The sequence below is a fragment of the Homo sapiens genome, chromosome 2 (assembly GCF_000001405.40).
Source record: "Homo sapiens chromosome 2, GRCh38.p14 Primary Assembly".
Lineage (NCBI taxonomy): Eukaryota > Metazoa > Chordata > Mammalia > Primates > Hominidae > Homo > Homo sapiens.
The window spans coordinates 94,192,531-94,213,619 of NC_000002.12; the positions used below are offsets into that span (position 1 = coordinate 94,192,531).

At 46.7% G+C, this 21,089-nt stretch overlaps 1 protein-coding gene and 1 pseudogene across 7 annotated transcripts in view; one reads left to right on the top strand and one right to left on the bottom strand.

The window, feature by feature from the left end:
* On the bottom strand, positions 1–15,889 carry BMS1P23 (BMS1 pseudogene 23; annotated as a pseudogene). 6 transcript variants are annotated; one of them, NR_146106.1, is made up of 10 exons: positions 15,780–15,889; positions 10,684–10,757; positions 9,867–10,038; positions 8,192–8,250; positions 6,921–7,109; positions 6,656–6,836; positions 6,351–6,409; positions 5,106–5,228; positions 4,043–4,190; positions 1–3,700 (listed from the first exon to the last, which is right to left on the bottom strand). The product of NR_146106.1 is annotated as a BMS1 pseudogene 23, transcript variant 2 (transcript). The 6 variants fall into 6 exon arrangements; NR_146105.1 differs by lacking the exons at positions 4,043–4,190; positions 8,192–8,250 and adding an exon at positions 9,290–9,513; NR_146107.1 differs by lacking the exons at positions 4,043–4,190; positions 8,192–8,250; positions 10,684–10,757 and adding an exon at positions 9,290–9,513.
* LOC107985915 (MAGE-like protein 2) overlaps positions 15,431–21,089 on the top strand; it is a 24,996-nt gene continuing 19,337 nt past the window's right edge. Inside the window, exons 1-4 of the mRNA XM_047446873.1 lie at positions 15,431–15,538; positions 15,773–16,572; positions 18,283–18,453; positions 19,317–19,444. Of these exons, the coding sequence (XP_047302829.1) occupies positions 15,431–15,538; positions 15,773–16,558 (894 nt within the window). The 3' untranslated portion in view covers positions 16,559–16,572; positions 18,283–18,453; positions 19,317–19,444. The remainder of the gene's footprint in view (positions 15,539–15,772; positions 16,573–18,282; positions 18,454–19,316; positions 19,445–21,089) is intronic.

The following is a 21,089-nucleotide window of genomic DNA, read 5'->3' on the forward strand; positions in this document are numbered from 1 at the left end:
TTATTTGGCTCACCCTGCTTGTGTCTGAAAAGTCCGAGATCGGGCAGCACAACTGGCGAGGGTCTTATGCTGCTTCATCTCATGGGGAAAGTGGAAGGCGAAACAGGTGTATGCAAGGGGCTCACATGGCAAGAGAGGAAACACGAGAGTCTAGGAAGCTGAACTCACTCTGATAACAATCCACTCCTGGTAACTAATCCAGTCCCATGAAAAGGCATTAATCTATTCATAAAGGATCTGCCCTGTGACCCAAATAACTCCCACTAGGCCCCACCTCCCACACCACCACATTTGGAATCAAATCTCAAATGGATGAAATTTCAAATGGCTGGTGGGAACAAATGATGTCCACATCACAGCATACACCCCACCTGCGGGGCCACGCTGCTGTGCCCCTCCCCTCCCAGCTGCCATTGCGCCCTGCCCCTTGGAGCCTGAGCTGACTTGGTGCCCTGCTTTCCAGGGAGTCAGTGCCTTGGCCAGTCTGAGCAGTCACATCCCCCACTGCACGAGAGCTGAAGCACTGCCCTGCTTCACAGGGAATCAGTGACTTGGCTGAGCTGAGCAGCCACACCTGCCAGGGATGAGCCAACATGGCACCCCCATATCCCAGGAAAACAGCATTGGCTGAACTGGGGTACCTTGCCCTTCAGGACAAACAACTGTAGAACCCTGCTTCCTTGGAACTGGACTAGCCCTAGAGAATCTGAGTTGCCCAGGCACCTGCCTCCCCAGGGAGAGAAGTAGTTGCTGCACTGGTCCCTGCCCCCAAGGGCCCAAGCCACAGTAGTGCTCCACCATTCTGGGGTCCTTGCTGATGCTGCGCCTGGCCTTACAGAGACTGAGATGCTGCTGTGTCCCACCACTGCAGGGTCCAGAGTCACTATCATGTCACTCCCATGTCCAGAGCCACTCCCATCCCCTGGGAGTTTACTTCTTAAACTCTTCGCAAAAACAGAGTGAGAGGAAATAATTCCAAACACATTTTACCAGGCCAGTATCACCTTAATACCTAAGCCAAACCAAAACACACACACACACACACACACACACACACACACACACACACACACACCAAACAAAAACTACAGGTCAACTTCTCCAATAAATTAAATACTGATGCAAACATCCTAAAAAAATTTTAGCAAATAGAATTCAACAACACATCAAAAACATTATACATCGTGTTTAAGTGGGATTTATCCCTGGCATGCAAGGCTGGTTTAAAATATGTAAATCAATCAATGTGATATATCACATTAACAAAATGAAAGATAAAATGACATGGTCACCTCAATTGATTCAGTAAAAGCATTTAACAAAGTTTAGCAACCTTTCTTGATAAAACCTCTTAATAGTTTATGTATAGAAGGAAAGTTCCTCAACATAATAAAGACCATTTATGAAAAACCCACAGTCTAATCATAGTTAGTGGGGAACAACTAAAGCTTTTCCACTAAGATTGAGTACAAGATAGGGATGGCCAGCCTCATCACTTTTATTCAATAGAGTGCTTGCAAGAGCAATCAGATGAGAAAAAAAGGCAACTAAATTAAAGAAGTAAAATTATCTCTATTTGCAGATGACAAGATCCTTTACGTAAAAAACTCCAAAGATTCCACAAAAAACTGTGAGAACTACTAAATCAATTCAGTTAAGCTGCAAGGTATAAACTCAACATATAAAAATCAGTTGCATTTCTGTATACAAATAACCTAGCTGACGAAGCAATGAAGAAAATAATCTCATTTACTATAGCATCAAAGAAAAACAAAAACTTAGGAATAAATTTAACCAAGAAGGTGAGAGATGTGTACACTTAAAAACCATAAAACATTGATGAAAGAAATTTAGACATGAACAAATGAAAAGACATCCTATGTTTATGGATCAGAAGAATTAATATTGTTAAAATGTTCACACTACCCAAAGCAAATATACAGATTTAACACAATCCTCATCAAAGTTCTGATGACATTCTTCACAGAACAGAATAAAACAATCCTGGCCAGGCACAGTGGCTCACGCCTGTAATTCCAGCACTTTGGGAGACCGCAGTGGGCGGATCACGAGGTCAGGAGTTGGAGACCAGCCCGGCCAACATAGTGAAACCCTGTCTCTACTAAAACTACAAAAATTGGCCAGGCATAGTGGCATGTGCCTGTAGTCCCAGCTACCTGGGAGGCTGAGGCAGAAGAATTGCTTGAATCCAGGAGGCAGAGGTTTTAGTGAGCCGAGATTATGCCACTGCACTCCAGCTTGGGTGACAGAGTGAGACTTCACCTCAAAAAAAAAAATAAATAAATAAAAGAAAAGAAAAAACAATCCTGAAACTCATATGGAACCGCAAAAAACCCCAAACAGCCAACAGATAACTGTGAAAGAAAAAGTTGGAGGCATCACACCTCTTGATTTAAAATTGTATTACAAAGCTATAGTAATCAAAACAGTATGGTGCTGGCATAAAAACAAAAAAATAGACCAATGGAACAGAACAGAGACCTTTGAAATAAATCCAAACATATACTGTCAACTAATTTTTGACAAGGGCAAACAAGACAACACAATGGTAAAAAAGATAGTTTCTTCAATAATAGGATTTTCACATGCAAAAGAATAAAATTCGACCCTGATCATACACCATACACAAAAATCAACTCAAAACAGATACAAGACCAAAGACCCAAATAAGACCTGAAACCATAAAACTCCTAGAAGAAAACATAGGGGGAAAGCCTCTTGACATTGGCCTTAGCAATAATTTTTTGGATATCGCACCACAAGCCAGGCTACAAATGTAAACATAAACAAGGAGGACTGCATCAAACTAAAAAGCTTCTGCACAGCAAAGGAACAACCAACAAAATGAAAGGGGAACCTATAGACTGGAAGAAATATTTGCAAACCACATATCTGATAAAGTGTTAATATCCAAAAATCAGTAAAGAACTCTTACAACTTAATAGCAGAAAAACAACCCAGTTGAAAAATGGGCCAAATAGGAAATGACCAGTAGGAAATGGGGAGATGTACATTAAAATAATACAAAGTAGCAGACATGTAGGATGAACAAGTTAGAGATCTAGTGTACATCATGAGGGCTATAGTTAATAAAAATATATTGTCTTTGGGATTTTTGTTAAATAAGTAGATTTTAGCTGTTCCTGTCACACAAACAAAAATCTAACTATGTGAGATGGTAGCTATGTTAATTTGCTTCACTATAGTAACCAGTTTACTATCTATATTTATCCTTTAAGATCATGTTGTCAACCTCAAATATATAAAATAAAATTTATTTTAAAAAAGAAAAGTTTGTCTTCAATCCAGAAAGAACCACTATTACCATTTTTTGGTGTTCCATTCCAAAATATCCCACAAATATACAATTGTTCAATCAAATTTAACATTAGACTTTATACTTGAACATTCAAAGTACGTAAGAAATTATAGAAAAGTGTCTGCGTGACTCCCTGTCTGTAGGGCACAGGCTTCATCTCCACTAACACACACACGACCAGTACCTTATACAGAGAGTCCTTGTTTGTCTTTAGTCTGACACCATGGGCGAGCCCGAGGTGGCCCGTGGTCCACATTCCTGACCAGGTGTCTTTCTCACCCACTGGTTTCAACAAAGATGTTACTGGGTTATAGAAGGCTGGGATGGAAACAGGATACCAAGTTCGCATGAAGACAATATCTGAAAAGAGGTAATTTACTTTAACATTTTCAAAAGAAGATTCATATCCATACTGCAAAGAAACAAAGAACAAAACCTTCACTCCAAACTTCTCTACCTGGCTGCAAAGTATTTGAAGGGAAAGCTCGCTAAGGAAACTATTCTCATAGATCACAGAACTGTTACTGGGTGTGGCCAGGGGGCTGCAGACACCAGGCGAATGGGCACACCGCATAAGACTGGGAGATCTAAGGCTGGAGCTGCTCAACTCTCTGGAGACCTGACTCCAGCCTCTCGTCACACTGGCTAGAAGTCAAGCATGAATGGTAACGCCCTGCCCTGAACACTACTTAAGACACTCACCGCTCATCCACAGCTTATCCTCAAAGCTAGCCTGGAAAGCTCCTTCTGGAGCTCAGAGTGCTCTCTTGATCTGCCCCCTTATCCCACTGACAGTTCGAATCACAGCATCTTCAAATTTGGCCACTTCCAAGGCAGAATTAAACATTCCCTACAGGTATAGCAAGATAAACACACACACACACACAAAATCGTATACTTTATGCTTTACTTCTTACTTCAAACATACATCCTTGATTAAAGAACAAAAACAACTCACTGAAGGGTGATAAAATAATCAAAATGTATTTGCCCCTGAAAGTGGAATTACTACCTCAAAAAGAATACAACTCTTTCATTTTCCCCAAAATAATCATGTGAGTTCACGGGCATGCTCATCACTGCTGTCTGTGTGGGAGAGAAGATTGAAGAGGGATTTACTGGACTGAATTGGCCTAGGAAGCCTTTGCTGGCATCTCTCAGACTGGACTGCAGCCCAGATCCTTTTACTCAGATGCATGCACTTAGAACATGAAAACATAAGATAAACGCCGGTGGTATTATTACCTTATATTGCAAGAACATTTTATGACTTCCTAACTCTGTGTTTTCAATAGAAACATCCCCACTAATGAAATTGTCAATAAATGCTGCTCAAACCACCCTCCCCAAATACTGTAAAACAGTACATCCGTTTCTCTGTACCCTTGCCAAGTTGTCTGCAAATGCTTTGTCGGTTTTTCTACTGAGTTAGACAAACTTGTGATTTTTTTCCCTTTCTTAACACCAATTTAAAAAGTAGGAAACAAAACCTAGTGGATAAAATGACATATTTTCAATATGAGTTCCGTGGCAGTCTCACATGGAAGTCAGGAGTAACAGCCTCAATTCCTAAATAGCTGTTTACCACTGCTTTTTTGAGCATATTTAAGTAATACAGAATATAAAGGAGCAAACAAAATATGAAGTTTATAAAAGATTTCAAACACTTTTCTAAAAATATGAGGCCCACATTTTAGAGGTATTTCATTCCTTTTCTCAAACAATATGGACATTTATAAATATGAGAATATATAGATATACAGACCTTAATAAATGAAGTGTTCTTGAAAATTTTATATGGAAAACCAGTTAGCTTTAATTTCTTCACAATTTTTATGGATTTATCCAGATCAAGGACAACTCCTGTGGCAGCTATCCGAAAATCAGGCTAACAGGAGCCCCAAAATTTGAAAATAGGAATAATATTAGCAAGAGAAAAACTTCAATTCTATGTAACACAATAAATTACCAAAGTGAACTTTACTTACAATTAGCTAAGAAAAACAAGAGAGACCATCTGAACTTGCAACCCAGTGGTTTGACAAAAGCAATCCAAAACTTTAAAGTTGGTAAGCCAAACTAACAAGGGTGACTTGAGGCCAGGCACAGTGGCTCATACCTGTAATCCCAGCACTTTGGGAGGCCAAGGCAGGTGGATCACCTGAGGTCAGAAGTTTGAAACCAGTCTGGCCAACATGGCAAAATTCCATCTCTACTAAAAATACAAAAATTAGCTCGGCATGATGGTGCACACCTGTAATCCCAGCTACTCGGGAGGCCGAGGCAGGAGAACCACTTAAACCCAGGAGGCAGAGGTTGCAGCGAGCCAAGATCGTGCCACTGCACTCCAGCCTGGATGACGGAGTGCGACTCTGTCTCAAAAAAAAAAAAAAAAAAAAAAAGAAAAGAAAAAGAAAAAAGAAAAAAAAAGGCTACTTGAGTACTTTCCTGAGAGTGATTTCAGAGGAATGTAATTTTACTATAATGATTTATTTGGAACGAAATGGAAAAGAAAAATACAGTTGCAATGTTTAGAAAATTAAAATTTGGACCTCCAGGGAAGATTCCATCTGCTCATTATTCTGCTTTCTTCTCTGTTAAATGGGACCAGTAAACCCTGCCCTGCCTGACTGGTCAAATGAAAATGGAGTGAACAGACTGCTACCCCAGCACAGCTGCAGGGAGTCTTGTGTCTGGGTGGTCTCTGATGGCTCCTCATAACCTCATATAGTGCTTAGCACACGGTGAGCACTGCTTAAATACTTGCTTAGATAAATAAATGCAAAAGATGCACAAAAATAGGAAATGTACCATTATAATTCTTCCACCTCCCCTCCTCTAATCCCACACCCTACTGAAAAGGATGTACAAAGATTAAAAGCAAAGGGAAATTTACTTTATAATAATAAAAATGAGTAATTTTCAACTTAAAGTCTCATGTACATAATAACCCACATTCAGGATATATTTCTCAAACCAATCTGTAAAAGAAATTGTCCAAGATAGTTACCATTATGCCACTGACAGACTGTATTGCCAAGAAACCAGTTCCCTGTGGAGTGATAGGGTCTTAAAGGAAAAGGAAAAAAAGAAATATAGCAAACCAGAAATTTTAGATTCTAGTTTAACATACTGGATACGGACATTTAGATTTGGATATAGATTTACATATATACTCCAAACCACCTCCCCGCTCCCAGAAAACAGAAACATCTTAGGAGTGGAATTTTATGAAAGGAAAAGCACAAAGCTAAAATAACGCAGCCTGTAAAGTTTAATCTCGGCAATAGGCAAGTTATTGTAATCATATTTTACCCCAAAAGGCTGCTCCACAATGCATGTGCTGTGGGGTATACTTTAGAAGCCTTTGTCTTCCATTGTGGTCTTCAATATAATAGAGCAGGATGGTCTGAAACCTCCTCCACCCTACAGAAAATATGATTGGATCTTGGGACTTGAGGATTTTCTTATACCAGCGATGTTTCTTCAGACGCATCTGAGGGGGATGAGAGGGTAAGATGACTGATGGAGGGGAAATCCACAGAGCCTCAGGCACCAAATATGCAGCAAAGGGACCCACCTGCACGTGTCCAACATTTCCCTCGCTGTTGCCCAAGCCACCCAGGATAATGGGGTAATGGGGGTCAAAGTTCTGCACAAATTCACAGGGAACATTTTCAATCTCAACGCGGACGTACATCCCAGGTCGAAAACCATCATACTGAACTCTGGCTTCATCATCTTGATCTTCAAATTCTACGTGATTCAGCTGTACATGACGGGGTGGGGGGAGGGGGGAGAAACCTGTATGCTGTTATTTGTAATAAACATAGGATTAACATGAACAAATAAGCAATTTCTAAGTAAAGGAACTGTGGACAGAATTATGTAGGCTTTATCCTATTAAAAATACTACACATTTGGCCGGGTACAGTGGCTCATGCCTGTAATCCCAGCACTTTGGGAGGCCGAGGCGGGCAGATCACATGAGGTCAGGAGTTTGAAACCAGCCTCGCCAACATGGTGAAACCCTGTCTCTACTAAAAATACCAAAATCAGCTGGGCATGGTGGTGCGTGCCTGTAGTCCCAACTACTCAGGAGGCAGAGGTGAGAGAATCGCTTGAACCTGGGAGACGGAGGTTGCAGTGAGTCAAGATCGTGCCACTGCACTCCAGCCTGGGCAATAGAGCGAGATTCCATCTCAAAAAACAAAAAAACAAAAAAAACCTACACATTTTACCTCTACAGTCTGTTCAGAATATGTCCCAACCATTTTCTTCTCTCCTGCTCCAAGGGACAGCAAATGTAGATAACTGTGGAGCCCTGCGTGCTCGAACATTGGAAACATCCCCAGTCCACACTTTCTTTCCTTCCTCTCCAAATAATTCTTTCACACTTTTCCCTTGTCTTCAAACACCCACCACCACCCTCACCTTCACTCAGCTGATGGCTGTTTCCTGATTCACTCCAAAACCAAAAGAACCTCTAAGGTCAACCCTCTACCAGGGTTTCCTCCCATATCCAGCCTTATCAGAGCTCTGACCTGGCCCATAGAGGAGCTATGTGTGGCTATTTAAATTAAAATTAATTACAATTACATAATATTTAAAATGCAGTTCCTCAATCACACTAGTCACACTGGAAGTGGTCCATATCAACTTGCGGCCAGTGTTACAATATTGGGAAGCACAGACGTGCATCTCCATGATCACAGAAAGTTCTACGGGCAGCTCAGGCACAGATGATTTGTCCATGCCTCTACTCAGGGCCACACATCACTTGCACACTAGACACCATCCACTCTTCCTGGACTTCATTCCAACAGCTCTTCCCTCTGTTCTCTCTCTTACCTCAAAACCTTTTGATTCCACTTCTTCCACCAAAAACTGCTTCATTTCTCTGCTTCTCTCTGCAGCAAAACCCCACAAAAGTTTTCCACAGTTGCAGCCTCCAGTTCCTCTGCTCCCATTCTCCTACATCCATGAAAATTGGTGTTTGCCAAGATCGCTGAAGGCCTCCACGCTGAAGGACTCCTCCAGTGGTCAACTCTGCCTTTACCGTAGTTAACACTGCAGCGGGATCTGAACAGTGCTTCGCCTCCGTGTACAACTGGACTCCTGCGTGCCTGCATGCTCACACTGCTTCTCCCTCTCCCTCCTAGGCACTGCTCAGGCCTCACGGCCGCAATCGCCCCATCTCGCCCATGCCAGTCTTCCTCCTCCCAGTCACTCTGCACTCACTCCCCGGCCACCTCACAGAGTTAAGTGGCATCTACATGCTGAGGGCTGTACATCTAAGTCCCTGGCCAGACCTGTCTCTCCAGACTTGACACTCCGCTTGTCTGCATGATACCCAGCCGAACCAAACATCATCTTCCCAAAACTGCATCTGCAGACAGTTTCCTATCTAACCTGCAACAACCCATCCTTCCAGGAACTTCCAGTCGCCATCCTCATTTCCTCTCACACACCCCACATTCAGTCCACCAGGAAATCCTACTGACCCAGCTTCCAAATAAACTCTATCCGCGTTTGACTCTTTGTCTCATCTCCACTGCCAGCCCTCTGGTTTGTGCCACCGGACTGATCTCTACCAGACTGATGTCTTGGCAGAGTGATCTGATTACCAGAATGTCTCTCCTCTGCTCAAAACCCTCCAAGGACTCCCATTTCAGAGTGAAACATTCAGTCTTTTCCAATGGCCCACAAGGCTCTAGGTAATTTTAAATTGTAAATGGTGTGAAGCAAAAACTTCAGAGTTAGCCTAGTCATGCCTTTCAAAGGTCAACACAGACTAGCAACCACTAAGCTAATGCCTAATCAGGAAACAGTCCTTTGACTAGATGAAGATCTAGGATGAAACTCCGTTTCACAAATCATATACCTAATCTGTTCCAGCTTACACAGGCACTCCTGGCCTCACTAACAAGACGCAACTCAGATGCTCACCATCAACTGTACACACGTTTCTGTGTCTGTCTCCTTCAGAGTGACATCACTGTCTCCAGCAACCTGCTCAGCAACCCCAGGCAGGAGGGCCACACCATCTCCCTTTATCTCCGCATCTGACCTTATACTCCACGTGTCCTTCTGAACTCTGACCAGGATGAGTTTTCAGAGCACTTCCCCTGGGAGCTCTGGTGTGTCCATAAGCCACACGGGCCACTGATCACCTGCCATTCAAATCAGGGAGCAGCGATCGGAATAGGCAGCATTGGCTTGCACTGAAATGAACACACTGTCTCAGATCACTACATTGTAAAAGTCTCAAAAGTAGAGACCATGTCTCAGTCATTTCGGTTTCCTAATTCTTGTTACAAAATAGGTATGGATCTTTTTCTGGTGATCTTCTGACTGTAGAAACAATGAGCTCACTGCATGAATAAACATACTCACATGCATCTACCCAGGAGTCCAAATGAAAGGCACAGAAGCAGGATAGGAAGCAGGGACCCAAAGACAGTCAGGGATTCCTGCACTATGTGATAGTCTTGACAAGGGGCTGAGAGGAACTGAGGTTTCTCACCTGTGCTTCTTTCTGCATTTCTCCTTTAAGATCATCAAAATATGTGCTTTCTCCTTCATCATATTCCGCATCAAACATCTCCTTCAATTTTCTCTTCTTATCCAAATGCTTTTTCTTGGCACTTTCTTCTTCGTCGGGGTCAATTTCTTCCTTGTTTCTCTATATCTTCATTCTTAAATTTCCAGAAGAAAAAATTTTGTGTATGTTTATGAAGGTCTTTTCTTTAAACATTACATTTTTTAAAGTTCTATTTAAACAAAAATCTTAGCAAAAATCTGTTATCGTTATCAATAAAACAAAACAAAACACAACATAATCTTTGTCTCTGAATAACATGGTACTGCTACAGGAAATTGTTACATCTGCATTACAATTAGCTGCTATTCCTTAAGCTGGCTGGGAACACAAACTAGAATAAAAATAACAGACATGTCCCTCACCCAGATGCTCCCAGACCCTGTTCTAAAGAAATATTAGGGAGAACAGGAACTTCATTCTTTTAAATGACACTTAAATTTAAAAAGAGGAGAATGATGGCAATGGTTGAATGTAAGTCTGAGAAGCTAAGACTTCTGTGAGTGAAAAATCACAGTAGTCTTGGCAAATGACTATGGCAAGAAACAGTAGTAACTGTCGTCCAAAACTTAACAAGTAAACAAGAAAGCTTCTCTTTGGTCCCCACATCCCCACCCTTTAGGAAGGAATCTATCCATCCAGTCTGCAATCTTCACACATCACAAGTAAGATTTGCATTTCTCAATGTGGGCCTCTCTCAGAACACAATGACCAAGAACAGCCAGCTACGACAAAGTCATACCTGAGTGTCGGGGCCCGATTTTCCCTTGTGCATGTCCCCTGTTTCCAAGTCTTCAAAGTCACCGTAGAGCTCCTCTGGGAAAAGAACACCCAAAGGCTGCTCTGTGAGCCAGGCATGCATGTGCTGCTGGCGCCACCCACGACAGGCCCACAATGCGCTCCGCGTTCCAAGCCTCATTCTTACTGTTCCCGTCACTAGACACACAGGCAAAACTTTGCACTAGGGAATGCTTCGTAAAACAGTATTTCATCATCTGTTTAGGTAAACTAAATTGACCCAATCCACATTTCCGCACTTCATGTCAAAAATCCCAATCTCAATTTTTCCAGTATAGATAATGGACACTCTTTCGTTTTTGTTTTTTTTTTTTTTTTTGGAGACGGAGTCTCACTCTGTCACTCAAGCTGGAGTGCAGTGGCACGATCTCAGCTCACTGCAACCTCTGCCTCCCAGGTTCAAGCAATTCTACTGCCTCAGTCTCCCGAGTAGCTGGGATTATAGGCACCCGCCACCAGGCCTGGCTAATTTTTATATTTTTAGTAGAGATGGGATTTCACCATATTGGCCAGGCTGGTCTTGAACTCCTGACCTCGTGATCTGCCCTCCTCAGCCTCCCAAAGTGCTGGGATTACAGGCATGAGACACTGCAACCGGCCAATGGACACTTTTTATGAAAGACACAGAGGTCTATCTGTGTCCCCCAAATGAATAATTCAAAGAGTGAATGGAAAAGTCCCATGCTGATAACCAGCACATGTGAAAAGGAGTCTCAATGTAAGTTCAACACAACACGATCGTGTAACACACCTAGGGGAAATTTTAGATCATATAAAACATAGCATTTAGATTAAGAGTAGAGCCCCAAACCACACCAAACCCATGGGAAGAGCTTATTCACTCATTCATTCCTTCATTTGTTTTTGGAGCTCTGGGTTCAGTTATAGTTCCCACTCTTAAAAGAAATAGACAAGTAAGGCTGGGTGCAGTGGCTCACACCTGTAAACCCAGCACTTTGGGGGCCCGGGAGGCAGAGGTTGCAGTGAGCCATAATTGCATCACTGAACTCCAGCCTGGGTGACAAAGTGAGACCCTGTCTCAAAAAAAGGAAAACAAAAGAAAGAGGCAAGTTAAAACTCATTTGGGAGAGCAATGTTTAGAAGGCTATTAAAACATTTTCACATAAGGGCCAAAGAACCAGGTAGATGTTATAAAAGATAGGAAGCTCCTATTTGTAATAAAAGCAAAAAAGGATAAAATAGGAATAAACCTAACAAGAAGTGCACCAGAACTTTATTTATTTAAAAAAGAAGAAAAGCTTTAATATGCTACCAAAGGACAAAAGGAATAGCATCACTACCAACACTCGTAAGTGCTCTCCACACCAGGCACTGTGTTAAGTACTTTCATTGCCTTAACCACATTCTTCAACCCAAGGAAGTAGATGTTGTAAATATTATATACTGAATAATGGTATGTCCTCATTTGAAAAGGAAGACTCGACATCACAAATACGCCAATTCTCCCTTTAGCACAGTTACAACCCGAAACCACCACTAAGGATTTCTGGTCTAGAGAAGATAACACATTATACCCTCCTCTAGAAATAATAGACAGGAGATGATCAATGGAGAATTCCGAAAGGTGGACAGAAAAAGGCTGCTGAGGGACTCTAGGACTAGGGAATGCATAGTGGCCAGGTGTCTCCCTGGACCTCATCCAATAGGACGGTGACCCAGGCCCAGAGTTTCCCAACTCCCAACGTAGCAATAGAAGGCAACCCAGGCAGACTCAGTCCCCGCAGATCAAAGGAGATCTTCCCCACAACAAGAAAACCAGCTCCACACACCAACACAACCACCACTCCCCACCCACCTAGCTGCAGCAGGTGGCCCAGCCTGGGGCAGCTCCCCTGTTCCCTCAGGTGGGCAACAGCAGGGACTGGTGGGAGAATCCCAGTGACACATATTAGCCAAACAGACCAAAATAACACCATGAAGGCTCTGAAATTAAATTGCCATTGGAATCACAGCCCACAAAGTAGACCAAGACCTACAGACTAAACCTAAACAGGAGGACTGCCTGCAAAAATAAAAAAATTACATAGGCAGATGTTGGAACCACCTGACTCATCACTTATAACAGTCAGTATAAAAATGCTCAACAAGCAACTACAAATCCTATGTCAACAATCAAAGAACTGAAAACGTCAGCAAAGAAACTGAAGAAGAATCAAATGGAAATTACAGAAATATAAAATACAGTAACAGAAATTTTAAAAAAATCTAACTGGATGGGCTCTATTGAGTAAAAGTGGAGACGACAGAGGAGAGAATCAGAGAAGCTGAAACCTGATCAACAGAATTCACCCAGTCTAAACAATAGAGAGAAAATAACCTGAAAACAAATGAACAGAGCTGCACGGACCTGTGGGACGATAACAAAAGACCCCACATTTATGTTATCTGAGTCCCACAGGAGACCAGAGCTGCGAAAGCATGCAAATAACTAATTCTTGAGGCTTCCCACATTTGGTGAAAGATATAAACTTACAGATTCAAGAAGCTGAGCAAACCTCAAAGTATACCAAAAGAAAGCAACACTGATTAAACTTTCAAAACTAAAAACAAAGAGCAAAAATGGCAGAATGCCTGTAGGGACACGCCAACTCAAATGCCATGGAGGCCAGAAGGAAGTGGCACAACATTTTCAAGTGCTTAAAAAAACCAACCAAACAAAAAAACTGTTGGCTGCAAATTCTATATTCCATGAAACTACCCTTCAGAAATGAAGAGAGAAATATAGACATTCTCAGAGGAAGAGAATATAGGAATTTGTCACTGGTCAATTTAGAAATGCTAAAAAGTGGCTACAGAAATATGTTCTGTCATTTCCACAATACAAAAAATTAAAACAAAAAATCAAAATAAAAAATGGCTACAGAAAGTTCTTATGCAGAAGGGATGAATATGGGACTATGGGAGGAGGGACAAAGGAAAGACCAGAAATGTGGATACATACACGAGACAATCCACAGTTCTTAAAATCACATTTGACGACTGAAACAAAAACTATACCACCACGTACTACTCAAGCCAGTGATTTATACAAGTGGAAAAGGTAAAGAGACATAAATCCAAGGCAGGTTTCCACACTTTGAAGTGGTAAATACTGGTACCAGTAGACTACTATATTACAATACACATATTGTAACATCCAGAGCAAACACTTTAAGACTATACAAACAGATACACGCAACAACATTATACAGAAATAGATCAAGATGGAGGGAAAGAAAAAGGAAACAAGCAAATAATAAAAACATCAGACATAAGCAATTATGTAACAATAAGCACCTTAAATGTAAATGGTCTAAATAAACCAAAAGACAGATTGATGGAGAGCCTATAATAAACACATGGTCCAACTAAATACTGTTCATAAGAAACTTCAAACTCACTTAAGGACCTAAGTAGGTTGAAAGTAAAAGAATGGAGAAAGTTATCCTGTGAAATCATTAATTTTTTAAGGAAGCAGGAGTGAATATATTAATATCTCATGAAGTAGACTTCAAGCAAAATAATTTACCAGAGCTGGAGAGGGTCTTCGCTGAATTTTAAGATCTAAAATTTCCTATGCTGCCTTGACATCTTTGAGCCTCACAGGGCCCCAAAGGCCTAGCTGTGGGTTTTCCTGTTTTTACCAGACACCCCCTACCCCGCCACCCAACAGGAAAGGCTCCCCACCTGGCTAGTTCTTTTATCAGCCAGAACAGTTGCACCTCAGCCTAAGAAGTTTCACTTCACCTGTCTGCCAGCCCATGAATTTATTCAAACAAGCCAATTGCTCTCCCCCTCGGGAACCATTGGTCATCGTGTGCTCTTGTTACTACCAAGCCTGCCTGCTTCCTCAGCCCCCAGCCCTCACTCCGCTACAGAGTGCGGTGCCCATCTGACCCTGTGTGGCATGCAGTGTCCTCCTCTGAGCTGTGGGTATATGTGACTAAAACACTGCTGTCAATCTCATCCATCCACGCCAGGTGTCGTGTTCAGCCATCTCCTACACTTTAGGGCAGGGACCCCTCCTTCACCAATGGGGTGAAAAGGAAGTGACCATAACAACTGCTTAATGACAAAAGGATTAACCCACCAAGAAGACATCTACTTCAACATCCTCCTCTTAGCAACTGTTAAAACTAGGCAGAGGCCGGGCACAGTGGCTCATGCCTGTAATCCCAGAACTCTGGGAGGCAAAGACAAAGGATAGCTTGAGGCCAGGAGTTCGAGCCTGGGCAATATAGCAAGGCCTCATCTCTCCAAAAAATTTTAAATTTAGCCAGGTGTGCCGGCACACACCTATAGTACCAGCTACTCAGGAGGTTAAGCCAGGGGAAGTACTTGACCCTAGGAAGTCAAGGCTGCAGTGAGTCATGTTCGTGCCACCGCACTCCAGTGTAAGTGACAGAGTGAAACTAGGCAGAAAAGGAGCAAGGATTTACAAAAGATCTGAACAGTCAACCAGCAAAATTTGACATCCGTATAACACCCCACTCCCCAACAGCAAAACACACACATTTTTAAAGCCAATAGAAATCTACCAAGGTGAGGTACGCTTGGGGCAATAAAAGAAATCACAGCAAATCTTGCTGTGCGCCCCTCTGAGCCTGAGCCGGCGCCGGCGCCGTGCCCCTCTCTGCGCCTTCTTTTCTCACCGGGGGAAGCGTTTGGGGGCCTCTTGAGGGACCCCCTAGATGCTTCTACTCAGAGCCCCCAAAGCAGGGGAGCCTCCACTCCTCTGTCTGCAGCCTCCCCTGTCGGTTCTCGCTACCCAGGGTTCAGTGGCCTGGGGGCTGACGGAGGTGGTCGCCTCTGCCAAGGCCCCTCCTGGCACCTCCCTGGCTCATCCAGCCCACCTTCCTCCCACGCTGGCTCACGCAAAGTGCTCTGGTCACCAGGAGCCCTTCCTGACCAGCCCCGGCCCCTTCTTGGCCTTCGCCCATCTGGCCTCCCCTGGAGCCCTGACCTGGGTGCCAGGCCTCCTGGGTCCAGAGCCCACCCCGCCCTGAACAACCCCGAGTCTCAGCCACCCTCAGCTCTTACCCTTTCACAGCTGGGGAGTGGACCTGGGCCTGCGCCTCTCCGCGCCAGCGCCTGCGCTGTGCGCCTCTCCGCGCCTGCGCCGCCGCTGTGCGCCTCTCCGCCGCTGTGCGCCTCTCCGCCGCTGTCCGCCTCTCCACCGCGCCGCCGCTGTCGGCCTCTCCGCCGCGCCGCCGCTGACCGACTCTCCGCTGCGCCGCCGCTATCCGCCTCTCCGCCGCTGTCCGCCTCTCCGCCGCGCCGCCGCTGTCCGCCTCTCCGCCGCGCCGCCGCTGTCCGCCTCTCCACCGCGCCGCCGCTGTCGGCCTCTCCGCCGCGCCGCCGCTGACCGACTCTCCGCTGCGCCGCCGCTATCCGCCTCTCCGCCGCTGTCCGCCTCTCCGCCGCGCCGCCGCTGGCCGCCTCTCCGCCGCGCCAACGCTGGCCGCCTCTCCGCCGCTGGCCGCCTCTCCGCCGCGCCGCCGCTGGCCGCCTCTCCGCCGCGCCGCCGCTGGCCGCCTCTCCGCCGCGCCAACGCTGGCCGCCTCTCCGCCGCTGTCCGCCTCTCCGCCACGCCGGCACCAGCGCTGTGTGCTTTTGCAAGGGCGGAGCTGCGTTCTCCTCGGCACAGACCCGGAGAGCATTGCGAGGGCGGAGCTGCGTTCTGCTCTGCACAGACCTTGGGGCACTGCCTCGCTTTGGGACAACTCGGGGCCGCATCGACGGTGAATAAAATCCTTCCTGTTTGCAGCCATGTTTGTGGTTGGTGGCAGCGATGGACACTGCAGCCAGCCAGAGTGTAGAAAAAGGCATCGGGGTAAGTGCGCTATCCAGGCTGCACTGCTGGTGGCCTGGGACGGGTTGGGAGCCCTATCTCAGGCGTCACTGCCCGTCTTGGGTGACTGGTTGGGTGTGCTATCTGAGGCTGTGCTGCCTGCAGCGGGGGGGCGGTTTGGGGGCTCAAACCGGGGCTACACTGCCTTTGGCGGGGAGCCGGTTGGGGGCACTATCCCAGACTGTATTGCTGGCAACAGTGAGGTGGGTTAAGTGTGCTATCTGGGGCTGCACTGTGCGGCTGTGGGGGGGGTGGCGGTTTGGGGTTGAGGGCGCTATGGGGTGCTGTAATGCCCATGGTGCGGGGAGGCGGGGCAGTTAGGGTATGTTGGGTGTGCTATTGGGGGGGGCGACACTGCTGGTGGTAGGGGGCAGGGTGGGTTGGGGGCCATATCAGGGGCTGCACTGATTGCTTTAGCTAGGATTTCTGGTACTATGTTAAACAACAGTGGTGACAGGGGGCATCCTTATCATGTTCCAGATCTTAGAGGAAAAGCTTTCTATTTTTCCGCATTCCGTATGATTCTAGCTGTGGGTGTCTTTCCTGTAGTTTTTATTATGTTGCGGTATGTTTCTTCTGTGCCCGTTTCTTTGAGGATTTATAGCATGAAGGGATGTTGAATTTCATCAAATGCTTTTTCGGTTTCAGTTGACATGATCATACAGTTTTTGTCGTTTATTTGGTTGATATGATGTATCACATTATATGTTGAGTGACTCTTGCATTCCAAGGATACATCCCACTTGATCATGATGAATTATCTTTTTAATGTATTACTGAATTTGATTCACTGGTATTTTGTTGAGGATTTTTGCATCAATATTAGAGATCCTGGCCTGTAGTTTTCTTCTTTGATGCTTTTATCTGATTTTCGTATCACAGTAATAATGGTCTCATAGAATAAGTTTGGAAGTATTCCCTCCTGTTTTTCAAAATAGTTTGAGCAGGATTCGTACTAGGTCTTTAAATTGTTTGGTGTGAAGCCATCAGCAGTGAAGACATCAGTTCCTGGGCTTTTCTTTACTGGGAGACTTTTTCTGATGGCTTCAATCTCATTACTTGTTACCAATCTGTTCTGGTCTTGGATGTTTTCATTGTTTAACCTAAGTAGGTTGTATGCATCTAGGAATTTGCCAATTTCTGCTAGGCTTTCCAATTTATTGGCATATGATAGCCAGTTATGATCCATTGAATTTCTGAAGTATTAGTTGTAATGTCTCCTTTTTTTAATCTGTTGATTTTATTTATTTGAATCTTGTCTCTTTTCTTAGGCTGGTTAAAAGTTTGTCAATTTTGTTTAGCTTTCCAGAAAACCAACTTTTCGTTTAATCTTGTGTGTTTTTTATTTCAATTTTGTTTCTGCTACGATCTTATTTGTTTTCTTATTTTCGGTTTAGTTTGTTCTTACTTTACTAGTTCTTTAAGATGTATTGTTTATTTGAAGTTTTTCTTTTGTTTGGATAGTAGGCACTTATAGCTGTAAATCTCTGCCTTTGTACTGCTTTCTGCGTAACAAGTTTTGGTATACTGTGTTTTCATTACCCTTTGTTTCATGAAATTTTTGAATTTCTGTCTTAGTATCTTCATTGACCAGCTAGTCATTTATTCAGGAGGGTAGTGTTTAACTTCCATGTGATTGTATTGTTTCCAAAATTACTTTTCTTATTGATACCTAGTTTTATTCCTTTGCAGTGAAAGAAGATGGCCACGGAGACAGACAGCAGCGTGGTCAGAGTGGTAGGAGCCGGCCATCAGCGAGAGCTGCTCCATGCCTGGCTGCTGGGAGCTAGAGCCTGCGGCCCACTGGCTTGCCTCACTGTAGTTGGTGGTGGCGGTGACAGAGACTGCAGCATGACCAGAGTGGTAGGACAGGGGCTATCCAGGGCTGCACCTTTCACAGTGTGGGGTGGGTTGGGGGCGCTATCCAGGGTGTCATTGCCTGCATTAGGGGTACTGGTTGGTAGCACTGCACAGGGCTGCACTGCCCACGGCAGGGAGGGTGGGTTATGGGTGCTTTCTGGGGCTGCAACGCCCATGGAGGAGGACAGGTTAGGGCATATCGGGTATACGCTACTGGCGGCATTGGGGGACGGAGGTGAGGGGCGCTATTGAGGGCAGGACTAGCCGTGGAGCGGGGGCGAGTTCGGTGCTATCAGGGGCTGCACTGCTGGCAGCAGTCAACAGAGTTGGCATCCAAGGAAGGAGTGGTTCTCCTCTCCCTGACTCCACACTCCAGAGGGCGAACCACTCTTGGTCATACTGGAGTGCGGCAGGGCATGCAGCGTTTGCATGGGAATCCTGAGCATGGCAGAGCCCCCACACCCACCGTGGTTCCTGGGCCTGTGCACTCTGGGTCTGTGCCTCAGAGGCTGCCAGGCACCCCTGGGGACACCACGGGGGACTGGGCCCTGTGTGTGGAGGCGTCCGGAACAGGAATTGGCACCTGGGTGCGGAGGGCTGGCTGGGTCTGAATTTGTCTGCTTCTCCTGTTCCCCGAGGAGTGCAGCCCCGGTGGGCCCAATGGTTCCTGTGGAGTGGGGAGCTGGGTGCTGTGGTGTCTCCAGCACCCACCCCAGACCCCAGTTCCCGGCCAGCTTGGGCCAAAAGGAGAGGCTGGACTTTGGAGGGTGGGTGTGAGTGCCTTTGCTGAAACTGGCCCCTGCCACCCAGTGGCCAGCATGACAAGTTGAGGCTCTAACGCTTCCACTCCTCACAACTTCCTCTAGGCTTTTCTGGCTTTGCCCACCCAGCTGCTCCGTGCCAGGAGGAGGAGGAGACACCTAGAGCGTGCAACACCACGGCTCGCCTCGCTGCGGGTGGGTGGCAGTGACGGAGACTGCAGTGCACCAGAACGGTAGGAGAGCGGCCGTGCTAGGAGGGCAGGCGGCTGCAGGCAGGGTTGGGAGTCAGGCTTACAGCGATGGACGGGCTGCAGCAGTGGCCAGGTGGTAGGAGCCTTGTAGGGAGGGCTGGTGCATTGGCAATGGGCCTGGCTTTGCCCTGTGCCTGCCGTGGATCTGGCCCTGTACTGCCCTGCCTTGCCCTGTACCTGCCCTACTGTTACCTGGACTCTCGGCCCTGTCCTGCTCTGGTCCCATCCTGTCCCTGTCTTGGCCCCGTGCTACCCTGTCCCTGCCCTGGTCTTGCCCTGGCACTGGCCCTGCCCCGATCCTGCACTGGCCTGACCTTGGCTCTGGCCCTGGCTCTGGCCCTGCCCCTTGTCCTGACCCTGGTCCTGTCATGGCACTGGCCCTGCCAATGGTCATGGTCCTGCTCCTGTTCTGGCCCTGACCTGGCCTTGTAAATGTCCTGGCCCTGCTTTGGCCCATCCCTGCCCTGGCCCCACCATGGGCCTGCCTGTTCTGCCCTCTCCTGGCACGACTTTGCCCTGTCATGGCCCAGTGGTGCCATTGCCCTGCTTTACCTTGCGCTGGTTGTGCCTTGGCCCCGCTTGGTGCTGGCCGCTCCCTGGACCTGCCCTGGACCTGCCCTGACCCTGCCTTGGCTTTTGCCCTGCCCTCACTATGGCCTGGCCCTGGCCCTAGCCCTGGTCCTGCCATATCCCTGGCCCTGCCCTTATCCAGGCCCTGCCCCTGCTGCTGCCCTGGCCCTGGCCTGGAACCTGGTCCTGTCAAGGACCTGCCCTGACTCTGCCATGGCCCTGGCCCTGCTCTGCCTTGTTCCTGGCCCTGACCCAGACCCAGACCCTTTCCTGGCTCTGCACTGGCCTTTCCCTGGCCCTGAGCTGGCAGTGGTCTGCCCCTGGTCTTGCCATCACCCTGCCCTGCTGTGCTCCGGGTGTGTCATCACCCTGCCCTGGCCCTACTCTGCCTTTGACCCTGCCCTGGCCTTACCTTGGCCCTCACCCTAGTCTTCGCTAGGCCCAGCACAGACCTGGCTCTGACCCTGGCCCTGGTCTTTGTCCTGCCATAGCCTTGGCCCTGAAGTGGACTTGGAGCTGTCCTGGCCCCTGTGTAACATGGCTCTGCATTGGCCTGTCTCTGCCCTGCCCCTACCATCGCCTTGCCCTGCTCTGCCCTGTCCCAGTACTGACCCGGCCATGCTATTTCCCTGCCCTACCCTGCCTTGGCTGTGCCCTGGCTCAGTTCTGGCCCCGGCCCCGGCCCTGCCCTGGACATGCTCTGACACTGCCTCAGCCTTGGCACTAGCCTGGCTCTTTCTTGGCATCAGCCCTGCTCTCTCTGTGGACCGGCTCTTGTCCTGTCCTGCACTGGCCATACCATGCCCTGCCCTGCCCTGCCCTGACTCAGCCCTGACTCAGCCTTGGCCTTGGCATTGCCCCTGGTCCTGCCATATTTCTTGCCCTGTCCGTACCCTAGCCTTGGCCCTGACCCTTACCTTGCTCTGGCCCTGCCCTTGCCCTAATGCAGCCCCTGGTCCTGTCGTGGCCCTGCCCTGGACCTGTCCTGGCCCTGGCCCTTCCCTGCTTGAGACCTTGCCCTGGTTCTCCCATGGCCCTGACCCTGAAATGCCTGGCC